Source organism: Homo sapiens, chromosome 1 (genome assembly GCF_000001405.40).
Source record: "Homo sapiens chromosome 1, GRCh38.p14 Primary Assembly".
NCBI classification, from domain to species: Eukaryota; Metazoa; Chordata; class Mammalia; order Primates; family Hominidae; genus Homo; species Homo sapiens.
Genome location: NC_000001.11, coordinates 153,219,311 through 153,232,033, shown reverse-complemented (window position 1 = coordinate 153,232,033; position 12,723 = coordinate 153,219,311). Strand labels below are relative to the sequence as shown.

General features: G+C 46.5%; 1 pseudogene; it reads right to left on the bottom strand.

Annotated features, from left to right (window-relative positions):
* On the bottom strand, positions 5,957 to 7,027 carry RPLP0P4 (ribosomal protein lateral stalk subunit P0 pseudogene 4; annotated as a pseudogene).

Sequence of the window (12,723 nt, the reverse complement as noted above, 5' to 3'; positions counted from 1 at the left end):
TGTCTTCACACTGGGGCTTCCCTGGCAGCAAGGGCTTCCTCCAACACCGGATGAAGTCTAGGAACACTTAGGCCTCAAATTGAGGAACCTGTGATGGACAAAAATAGTAGCATGCATTACAAAAGGGCAGAATTGTCATTTTCCTTCTGCCTCTGTGGCCAGCATGGCAGGCATTTGGCAAAGGGCAAGGGGAGGCATGGTTCCAGCATCTGGAATCATCACACTGACTTTGTGTATGTATGTGTGTGCGTGTGTGTGTGTGGTATATGGTGTGAGAGAGTGCAGTGTGTGAACCTCATGCAGGTGAGTCTCTGGGGGGTGACGGGGAAGAGGTGCTCCCTCTTCTAGGAGGACATGGTAGGGGCAGAGAAGCAGGCATGGGCTGAGTAAACCCATGCAAAGTCTGATTAGGGCTTAAAGTGTGTTTGCCATCTGGGCCTGACTCAGCCTCTGGTGTCAAAGGTTCAGGCGAGGTTGCTTTGTGAACAGGGTGGAGTAGTCCGGGTCCACTTGTGGAAACTCTATAAATGGAAGCCTGGGCTTCGGTGTTGGCTTCCCTCCTGGTTTGGGGAAGTGCTGCTCAGTCCTGCCTCCTCCCACTCACCTTCCCACACCTGGACACCTGCAGCCAGGCATCTTTCATGAAGGCCTCTTCTGTCCTAGAGTAGGTCTGAGCTGGGATTTTCTTTGAGCAGCAAACCAATCCAGCTGCATCCAGGAACCCCACAGACTGCCCTGCTTGGTACCTCCCTTTGCTCCTCAGTCCACTCTGTTCTGTTCTGGCCTCTGTGTCCCCACTCAGGCTGTCCTCATCAAGGTCACCAGCCACTCTGCATTTCTTGACCAGTTAGTATTGGTTGACTCCATTGATTTTCCTTCCTTTCTTGGACACCTGTCTTCTCTTGTCTTTCCAGTCTCCACCCTCCTAGTTTCTCTTCCTTCACTGACCGCTCTTTGTCAGCTGGCTGTACAGGCTCCTTCTGCGCTGTCCAACCTTGAGATCTTGTGGAGTCCTCAGCTCGGTAGGGCCCTCTCTTCTTCTCCTTGGGTGATCTCAGCCACTCACATATCTTTAAATACCTTCTATGTGATGACAGCTCTCAAATATGTACATTTTTGGCCCAGATATCTCTGAGCTTCAGACATGTACCCACATATCTCCTAGTCCTCACCTCTCTGCATCCACCTAGTGGCCTAAGCCATAAACTTGGGAGTATTTCTGCCTTCTTTCTCCTCCTTTACCCCACACATTGAGTCCCCCTGCTACTCCTGTTAGTTATTCCTCCAAAACACTTAGCGTCACCCTCTTGTCTTTGTCTCCACTGCTGCCATCTACCACCTTTAGCCATAACTCTAGTAGCAGGTCCTTCCTCTCCCTATTTCATGCTTCCTCCAACATCCAGCCTTTATACATTTTGCAGATGGAATAATCTTTTGAAGCTTTGAATCAAATAAAAAGCCTCTACTGAGACCCCTTCGGGGTCTTCCCGATGCATTTTGAAAAACATCTGAACAGTATATACATGTTGTCTGAGGTTTGATGGGATACATGCTCAGGCAGGTGTGTGTTTATGCCTGTGAACAAACCTAAACAGATGCAGGTGCATATTCACCCTGGCCACAATGTGCCCACCCCAAGATAGCCCTATTGTTTAGGGTCTGGGACCCATCAGTGTCTGGCATCATGCTTGGCATTAGGTGCTCAGCAGGAGCTCAGTGAATGGATAAATGAGCTTTTGGTGTCCTCTAAGTGTAAACTCCACAAAAACAGCACTTTTGGTCTGTTTACTGCTACATCTCCAGCACCTAAAGGAAAGCTTGGCATACAGTAGCTACTCAACAAAGATTTGTTGAATGAAAAAATAAATGAATGAGAACACAATGAGTAATCTACAGATAGGCTTTGTCATTCTGGCTATTTAGGAATCAAAGGTAATGTGTTCAGTGACACTTTTGTCAGTCAATTCACATTCAAGAAAATGTTCCCTCAGATTTCCTCTCACCTCCAGCACGCTGCCATTGCCACCATCATGTAACCCATCATTTCTGTTGCTCTCACCTCAGATCGGCCTTTCCACATTACCCGAGCTAAAGAGCACCCCTCTTCCCTGGTCATTTTGTTTCATTTTCTTCAATTTCTTATTTATGCATTTGCTGAGTTGCTTTTTGTCTGTCTTCCTCCTCATGTGAGCTCTGGGAGGCAGGGATTCTGTGTATCTGGTTCGCTGCTGTAACTCCAGTGCTTGGCTCATAGGAGATTCTGTGTCACTTACTCTCACATAGGAGAAATTTGTTTTAAGGGAACAATAGAAGTGGTGGAGTCTAGATTTGAATTCCAGAAGTCTGATTCCTGAGCCTATGTCCTGAACCATTATTCGTGTTGCTCCCACCCTATAAGTAATGTAACTCTGTCTTGCACATATAGCCTTCCTCTGACTCTGTTAGATGCTGCATCTCTGTACTCTTGTCTTCTCCACATGGAGCATTGACTGGACCCGAGTGTGTGCGGCCATCTCCAACTCAGGCCAGACTGGGTGTGATTAGTAGAAGGCCAAGTGCCTCTATGGCCAGCAGGTGGTGCTGTTGGGAAGAGAAGAGAAAAGGGGTCCCCAGCGGCTTCTAAAGGAGGGAGGACTGGTTATGAGGCTGGCTTGGGAACCGGGTGATGAGGGAGGTTGAGTTGAGAAGGCCCTGCCAGCTGACCACCTCTTTTCTTTCAACCATGAATGGCGGTGGTGGCCCCCACGATACCACAGTCACCACCATCACCCCTGACCGACAACTCCAGAACACCAAGCTCCCCTCTGAGCTGGCCCTACAGGGCGAGTGGCCAGACTCTCACATGCTCGTCAGTTGAGACAGGGTCTCAAGGATGTAACCCAAACTATACATTCATTTAGTGTAAAGGTTATTCCTTCATGCATTATCCCCTGGATAGGCGACCTTAGGGGATGCCTCTCACTCCCTACCCTAGTTTTTGATGAACTCCTAAGCCATAGATTCAGTTTTAGAGATAAGTATAATAGTCCTTAAAGTATGATATTAAACATGACAGAGAGTGTGTCATCAAAGGTATTTCCCCTGGGTTAAAGCTTGTATTTTTAAACCAAGAATATGGGCATTGGAATCAGATGAGCTGGGTTTCAGCTCTGGCATTGATACTTACTGGCCGGATAATCTTGGTCAAGCTGTTAAACCTTTTGGGTCCTCAGATCATTTATCATTCATTCACTCACTTATTCCCATGTACCAGGATCTAATGGCAAACCACTGTGCCTTAGAAGAAGAGAAGTGAGTGGGAAGAGGTTCCAGTATTTGAGCAATCCCTGGGTGACCAGCCTGGCTGGACCCTCCCACCCCCATGCCTGCTCTCCATGTTGTCACTCAGTGTGGGCACTTCCTGATCCTCAGTGGCATTCAGCATTTTGCACACTCTCTCCTTCCTGACTTTTCTCTTAAATCATTGACTCCTTCTTAATCTTTTGCCAAGGGCTCTCTCTCTTCTCAACCTTTAGCTGTTGAGGTTTCTCAGGGCATGGTCTTAAGTTCCCTTCTTTTCTTAATCTATATTCTGTCACTGGATGATCTATACACCCCAAAGCTAGAATGCTACCCCTACGATGATGGCTCCCAAGTGTAGATCTCCATTCCTGAATTTTTCCCGCGCTCCTGACTCATAGATGTAAGTGCTTACTTTGTATTTCTGCTTGGTTATTCTGTATGCGTCTCAAAATTGACAGGTTCAAAACTGAGCCCCTGGTCTTCTTACCTGGACTGCACCCAAACCTGTTCCTCCTTCAGTCTTTCCCAGCTGCTTCTGGAAATGGTGGCTGCTGCTGCACAGAGACTTGGCTATAGCCATGGTGTCCCCAGTGGCTCCCGCTTCACCTCTTGCTTGCTTCCTCTAATCCATTCTCCACACTTTAACTAGAGCAATATTTACAATCTGCAAATTGAATCTTGTCACTCTCTGCTTAAAAATCTTTAATGCTTCACTCTTAGGGCAAAAGTCAAAACCTGTCACGTGGTCTCAGAGGCTTGTGGGGTCTGCTCCTGCCCACACACCTCCTGTCCCTGTCTGGGGACACAGTCCCTCTCACTCTCTATCTTTGTGTCTGAGACAACAATCAGGCTTTTCCTATATCAGAACCATCTTTTGTTTTCACTATAATTTTTTTCTTTTTGTCACCTGGACAACTCCTCCTACCTCTCCAGTTTCAGATTAAATTTTATTTTCTCATGGAAGATTTTCCTGATCTCTAATCTAAATTAGGTTCTCCAATTCATTATTTTATATAACCTAGAACTTTCTTTTGTTGAATGTAACAAAATTTAGAATTATGTATTTATTTTTGTGTATTTCTTATATTGATTGCCTCTTTTACTAGCTCATATGCTCTGAGTGCAGGGACTGTGTTTGCTTATTTATCATTGCATACCCAATACCCAGTATAGAGCTTGGCATGTAATAGGGGCTCAAAAATACTTGCTGAGTAATAGATTAATGAAAGGAAGTTTGCCTTGATATTAGACTGAACTTTGCTGAATGGGAATAGATTTTGAATGCTCGCATCAGCTTTGGAGGGTAATGTGAAGAGCATCTAAACTAGGCTATCTCAATTGTTATCTCTGAGATCTCGCGTAGGTTAATTTCTTTGAGCCTTAGTTTTTTGTCTATAAAATAGTCATATTAATATGACCTCCTTCTTTTGCTTGTTATAACGGTTATAATAGCAGCTAATATACATAAAGTGCTTAGAAAATATCTGCCACATAATATTCACCATTATTATCACTTTTAATATTATTATTTCCACTCTCTTCCTGGTGCAGGAATCACTCTACAATACCTTTGGCAGATAGTTTTGCCATCCTAGTGATGGGGAACACTCCTCTTGAAATCTCTAGCTACTTTTAATGAAATCCAAACTATTTACTATAGAATTGGCTTCACTATCATGTAAATCTATGTTAATAGTAACTATCTGCTAATAGTAATAATCATATTAACCCTTCACATTTTACAAATTACTAAATACTTCCACAAATACCTCATTCGATCCTGAGGACAGCCATCTAGGATGGGTGGGTGATCATCAGTGCAATTTTACAGATGCAGAAACTGAGGCTGGGAGATTTGCCAAAGATCATGCAGCATTTACGTAATCCAGGACTTCATTATAAAAAATCTCCAGAAGAGCTGATTGTTCACTGAGGGTGCATAAAACTATTCATTGGGAGCAGAAAGAAAAAATTTGAATTTTTTCTTTATGTATTTTTATCTTTTCTTTTAAAATTGTCTGTATTTTGTGTTTGTCTTTTAACTTTCATGATGTTAGAATGACAGTACATATCTATTGCTTCTAAATAATATGTATGTATTATATGATGAACCCCAATAGAACTTTCAACTCTTTATTAAAATATGCATTCAGAAAAGTGCATATATTGTAAATGTCCACCTCAATGAATTTTCACAAACTGAACACAACCAGATAAGCAGCCCCCAGATAAAAAAATAGAATGTTACCAGCAACACAGAAACCTTCCTTCTTCTCCCATCCAATGACCACGCTACTACAACCAACACACACACAACCACGTTCTTACTGTCTACAACAGAGATTTATTTGGCCAGCTTTTGTACTGTACATAAATGATATAAATGGAACTATACAGCGTGTTTTATGTTGAACCCTATGAACAGTTTTTGACCTCCATAAATGGCAATTTCATATGTTTCATCCTAATGCTTTTTTATGTGTCTTTTTTTTGGCCACTTACTTTATGTTTGTGAGATTCATCCTTATTGCTGTGTGTAGCTGTAGATCATTTGTATACATTGCTGTATGGAATTCCATTGTCTGAATATACCACCGTTTATTTATTCATTGATGGGTATTTGTATTCTTTCTGATACTTGGATATTATGAATAACACTAGAATAAACATTTTTTTTTGAAAGAAGTAAGCCTTCATTTCTTTGTTTTGCAAATAAAGCTGGCTGAGTTGGTTGCCTTTTGGTGATTAGTCAAATAGGCCAAATCCCATATTCTCATCCAACTCCTCCAACTCTTCTTGGCTTCAGCCTTGGCTGGAGCTGCAGCAGGAGCAGCAGTGGTGGCAGTGGCCCCAGGGGCAGCAGCCACAAAGGCAGATGGATCGGCCAAGAAGGCCTTGACCTTTTCAGCAAGTGGGAAGGTGCAATCAGTTTCCACAGACAAAGCCAGGACTTGCTTGTACCCATTGATGGTAGAATGAGGTACTGATGCAACAGTTGGGTAACCAATCTGCAGGCAAACACTGGCAACATTGCGGACACCCTCCAGGAGGTGAGAATGCAGTTTCCTATGTGATGTCAAGCACTTCAGGGTTGTAGATACTGCTACTGTCAAACAGCTGCTGGATAATCATCCCAAAGGAGAAGGGAGAGATGTTCATTCAGCATGTTCAGCAGTGTGGCTTCACTGGCTCCCACTTTGTCACCAGTCTTGATCAGCTGCACATCACTCAGGATTTCAGTGGTGATGCTTAAAGCCTGGAAAAAGGAGGTCTTCTTAGGCTCCAGACCGGTGTTCTGGCCTGGGACAGTGACTTCACATGGGGCAATGGCACCAGCATGGGTGGCAGCTGGCACCTTACTATTCAGCAGCATGTCCCTGAACTTAGTGAGGTCTTCCTTGGTGAACGCAAAGCCCACATTTCCCTGGATATGAGGCAACAGTTTTTCCAGAGCTGGGTTGTTTTCCAGGTGCCCTTGGATGGCCTTGCACATCATGGTGTTCTTGCCCATTGGCACCATGGCTTTCCCTCAGAGGGACATGTGGATCTGCTGCATCTACTTGGAGCCCACATTGCTGCTTCTACAATGAAACATTTCAGATAATGATTGAAAAATTGGATGATCTGAAGGAAGTAGTTGGACTTCCAGGTTGCCCTGTATTCCCTGGGCAGCCTGGCAGTGTGTCAGGGGTTGCCATGCAGGGTTTAAAGGTGATGCCACTTTCACAAGGATGCCTGATGAGAGCTAGAATGAACATTCTAATGTTTGAGTTTTGGTGACCGTATGCGGGGCAGATGCCTAGGAGAGGAATTGTTCAGTCATTGGCTGTGTATACATTCTACTTTAGTCATGACCGTCAAAGAGTTTTCCAAAGTGGTTGTACCAATTTGCACTCCCACAACCTCACCCACACTGTGATTCTGTCTTCTTACTTTTATCCCCTCCAGTCGGTGTGTTGTGGTATCTCTTTGAGGTTTTCATTTGCATTTCTCTGATGAATAATGAGAGGTTGAACACCGTTTTTATATGTTTATTGGTGAGGCTGAAATATTTTTATTACCAGGATGTGCAACATAAAAACTTTTAGGACTTGGGAATTGTAGGATATTTTCTCTAATTGCTTAGACTAGTTTTTTCTTAGACCATTGTAAGGAAAAGGAAGTTCCATCTTCTGGTGCTGGGACAGAAAAGGGGAGCATATGAAAGGGAGGTGAGGACCTCCGCTTTTCATCTTTGCCAGAGTCTGCTCCGGGTTTGACAAGAAGCGTGTTCTGTACCCAACAGCCAGTTTTCTCCTGCCTTGCTGTGATGTTCCCCAACCCTGGGGCGGACATCCCTTCAGGGACTGGCTGACAAAGGCTATTTTACTGTATTCAGAGAGAAGCAAAATCTTGTGGTAACCTATAAGCAATTCAAGTGCAAGAGTAGGTGATAATTAAAGATTAAAAGCATTGCATCCACACTTCCTATAATCTCAGCTACTTATTTGGTCTCTGCTTGCATATTTCATGGATGGTGGGATCACTACTTCATGAGCAGCTCATTTCATTTGCTGGGCCATTTTATTCCTGATATGAGCAGAATCTGCTTTTCTGTGCCCAGAACTCACTGATCCATGCTATTCTCCTTGGGATCACAAAGAATATATCCACTGCCTCTCTCTTTGACATTTGACAGGCCTGAAGACAGCCACTGTGTGTCTCTAAGTCTCCTCATCTCTGGATGAAACGCCCCCTTCCTTCAGCCACAGCTCATGTGACAAGGTGCCCAGAGACCTCGCTCTTTTTCTCACATTAATTTGGATGAACTAAAAGTTGGCCAGGGTCTACCTTCAAATGCAGCATCCGAGTTAAGGCTCCAGGGGCAGTCTGACCTGCAGTACTCCCTGTACCTGCTGTTCTCTTTGCGCTGATACTTACCCCGATCCCACATGGATGGCTCCTCCTATTGTTCATGTCGCTACTCCGACATCCCCATCTCAGATCGGCCTTTCCACGCTACCCGAGCTAAAGAGCACCCCTCTTCTCTGGTCTCTCCTCACCACTTTGTTTCATTTTCTTCATTTTCACTTTCTTATTTATGCATTTGCTGAGTTGCTTTTTGTCTGTCTTCCTTCTCATGTGAGCTCTGGGAGGCAGGGATTCTGTGTATCTGGTTCGCTGCTGTAACTCCAGTGCTTGGCTCATAGGAGATTCTGTGTCACTTACTCTCACATAGGAGAAATTTGTTTTAAGGGAACAATAGAAGTGGTGGAGTCTAGATTTGAATTCCAGAAGTCTGATTCCTGAGCCTATGTCCTGAACCATTATTCGTGTTGCTCCCACCCTATAAATAGTGTAACTCTGTCTTGCACATATAGCCTTCCTCTGACTCTGTTAGATGCTGCATCTCTGTACTCTTGTCTTCTCCACATGGAGCACTGACGGCCGGAGTGTGTGCGGCCATCTCCAACTCAGGCCAGACTGGGTGTGATTAGTAGAAGGCCAAGTGCCTCTATGGCCAGCAGGTGGTGCTGTTGGGAAGAGAAGAGAAACGGTCCCCAGCGGCTTCTAAAGGAGGAAAGACAGGTTATGAGGCTGGCTTGGGAACCGGGTGATGAGGGAGGTTGAGTTGAGAAGGCCCTGCCAGCTGGCCACTTATTTTCTTTCAACCATTTTCAGATGTGAGGCAGGTGTCCGTAGGAGAGAAGGAGAGCAGGAGTGGACAAGTCCAGATCTGCTGTCGAATAGGGGTGGTGGCCCCCACGATACCACTTCTCCTGGTCAAGACCTGCCAGTTCATGCTGAAACAGGCCTAGGCTGGGAACCTGCTCATTGATCTAGTATTTGATCACCCCTCACCAGCCCCTGCTGCCCCCACCCCTGCTCATGGAGAATGTGGCTATGGAGGGGGCAGGCAGTGGGAACTAGGCCTCCTGGGTTTACAGTTTTCCAGAAAAATCCCTTGGGCTATAAGTTCCTCCAGCATGGAGGGCCTCATCTGCTTTCCCTCTGTGCTCCCCCACCTGGAACAAAGCATCATGTCTTATACACACAGGTGCTTAGGGCAACCAACCATCCCAGTTTGTCGGGGACTGAGGGAGTTCCCAGGATTCAGAACTTTCAGTGCTAAAATTGGGACAGTTCCAGGCAAATCAAGATGAGCTGGTTACCCTATCAATAAAAGAGATTGTCCAGGTGGTCTAGAAGCCAGCACCCCGCTTTGTCTCTGCTCAGGGGGCATGCTGGTGGCCAGCCGTACAGGTGTCTCAGACCTCACTGTGATGGGCCCTGTGAAGTCAGGCAAGAACACAGCCAGCCCCAGGAGCTGTCATCTGGGCTCTCATGCTGACAGGAGACATGTGTCATTCAAATACAGGCAGCTGGTAGAGGGCTGCAGACCCCTGCGGCCACTGCAGCACAGAGCCCAAGCTGCAGTACTTAGGAGCTAGGCTGAAACCATGGAGGGCTTCCTGGAGGTCAGGTTGAAACCCCTGGTTTGGCTGAGACAAACAGGGGAGAGTCCTGGGTGGGAGAGAGGAAGGTGAAGGCAGAAAGGAATCTGCGATGGGTTGTCAGGTGGAAGAACAGGCGGATCACTTTGGTACAGAAGAGAAAGGGTATCTGGATGGTAAATAAATGAGATGTAAAAGGGAGCGAGCACACTAAACCCAGCTGGGAAGAACGAGATTAGAAAGCAGTGAGGAATTACTGTAGGGTGCTTCTCAGGGCTGAAGCATTTGTGGGTCCAAAAACATTAAGAAAACCCCAAATCTGGGGGAGCCTCTTCCCATGACTTACCTGTCTTCCTCCTTTCTTTTAGTTTCAAGCCATGGTCACACATTCTGCTGGTCCCCAGAAGTTTGGGCCCCCCGAAGAGCCTCCCAGCAGTGTTCTGGAAGCCAGGGAAACTTCCTGTCTCCTGAGCTTGCGGTCAGGTCTTCTGAATCTCCCTTCGTGGGAGGCTCCCTGCCCCTGGGTCCCATTTCCACGTACAAGTTACAGTTAGAGGAGTCACAGTATTTGATGGATTGGGAGGAGCTGGTTGTCATCTACTGGCTTGCAAACCTCCAGTTCATGGGACACAGTGCATCTAAAGGCAGCTCCTGTCGCAGTCCAATAGATCTCATTATAAGAAAGTTCTTAAACTGAGCCCAATTTCATGATTTCTGCCCATGGGTCCTAACTTTGTTCTTTGGCACTTCACAAAAATCTCACTCCTCCCTCATAAAAGCACTTAAAATATTTGAGTTCAGCTGTCCCACTCCCTTGGGTATTTTCTTTTGTAGACTAAATATTTTTCAACTCTTCCTGATGTGAAAGTCTTTCAGGCCACTGCTCTGCTTGCCCACCTCCTGGCACTGTCGCAGGTTTCCAGAGTCTGGCTTGGCATAGTAGTTTCTCCATAAATATTTTGAGTGATTGAGTGAATCCACAGCTCCTCCTGTGAATTCCTGTCTGTTTGTATTTTTTCCTCTTGGCATATGGGGCCCACAGATCCACTATTGTCTCATGTTGAGTTAACTGTTAGCTAGAACCCCTAACATCCAGGGCTTTCCTTGGTAAGGCCCCTCCCTACTTCCTGAAAGGCTCAGCACAGAAGCGGCAGCTGGGGAAGTCTGAATGCTGTGTCCTAGCTGTCCCTGTGGCCTCTGTGGCTGTGGACCTGGTCTGTGTCTTAAGAGACCAGGCTGCAGCAGCAGTGGCCCAGGCAGTGGCTGGGGCAGACCTCTGTGAGGATGAGGAGGTGTGGAGGTTCCTATGACAGAGCTAGATGAAGGCCTGCTGGCTGCTTGGCGTTTGCTCTCCTATCTGCAATCTGCAGACTTGTCCCCTTCCTAACCGTAGAGGCCTCCCCTGTAATCAGCAGATTTCCCCTCTCTCTGATAAGTCTGGACTCTCCCTGTTCATTAGCCTCGTGCTTCCTTTAATGCCTGGGTGTCTGATCTTGGACTCCAATCTGTGCATGCCTTTGATGCTGGAGAACAAAGATGTTTCTTGGACTTGAGCCAAGCTGGAGAAGAGTCTGTGAACAGAAGCTTCACTGATAGGAAGGCCTCTCTGGCACATCTCCGCAGGATGGAGCTCTGGGAGCTGCTGGCCCTGGGGAGCAGCTGGTTTATTCCAAGGTTGGAAAATGGATGAGAAAACCTATTTCGACTAGGCAAGGAGGCAAGAGAACTGTGATTCAGGCATCTGGAGATGTTCAGGGACTTGAGATATCCAGGAGGTTTTCAGAAAGGTATCCTTGGTGCATGTGGCCTGCAGAAGAGACAGCTCGTAACTCTGCACAGGGATACTGACTGCCTGGTTCACCACTGTCTCTCCAGTACCTGGCATGGTGCCTGACACCTGGTAGGTATCAGGGAGCATGTTTTAGGTGGATAAATGAATGAATGAGTTTCTGGAAATCTCTTCTGTATGCCATAGCACTTTCATTACAAAAGTGAGAGCTCCATTCTGGAGTCAGAGGGACTTGGGTTAGCATCCTGACTTCACCACTTACTGGCTTTAGGACAAGTTCCTAAGCAAATGGGCAGCACAGGAACTCCCCAAGGCTGCTGTTAGAATCCCCATAGAGAATGTGCATGGAGTTCAGGGCCTGGTCCATGTCACCCACAGACTCAGTGACCCTCAGTTTAGCCAAATGACTGAGACATAGAGCTCTACACGCCCTACAAGGAGGGGCTGTCCCGGCCCTCCACCTCTTCCTCATGAGGATTGAGAAGGGAGGGGGCACCTGTAGAATGGGTAAGAAGCTACATCCCCCCTAGGAAGCTGGTCCTTGGCATAGCTTCCTTTGGGCTCAGGTCGGAGCTCGGGGCACTGCCGAGGGAGCAGCCTGTGGTTATTTCATGTCAGTACAGTGCCCTCTCCACCCGTTCACAAACCCCAGTGGCCACTGCCTGTGTTTCCTCCATGGGTGGGGGGCAGCAGGCCGGTTACCCAGGCCCCAGGCCTACCTGAAACCTGGCCAGATGGCAGGGCAGACAGTTTTGGTCCTCGAGTCTGCATTAATCTCAGAGGCATGCTTTGCTCTCTCCTTTGACACAGATGCTATGTTTGTAGGTGTTATGAATTGATTTGGGATCCCTCTTCCACACATCTCCCCTCCTTTCCATTTCAGCCTTTCCCTTTGGAAAGCAAGGATCAGAGAGGAAAGATGCTGTAGTAGAAAGAACCTGGACCTGAGGTTTTGAGTGTGGGCAGGTCCTAGCCCCTTGCTGGATTTTCTCATGTGTGAAGTGCACAAGTGGGTGAACCTAGGATATGTTGTGGGTGGGGTGGTCTCAGTGACCTTCAGGAAGCCTCTTTCAGAACTGCTGTTTTATGCACCGGTGAGGTCTGTGTTTTATTCCTGTTTCAGATTACTCCCCTCCCCCACCAAAGGAGAAGACAGTTGTCACAAGGACAATGAGGGGTTTGATGGTGGAGAAAAGAGAGCACACGTCAAGTCAGATA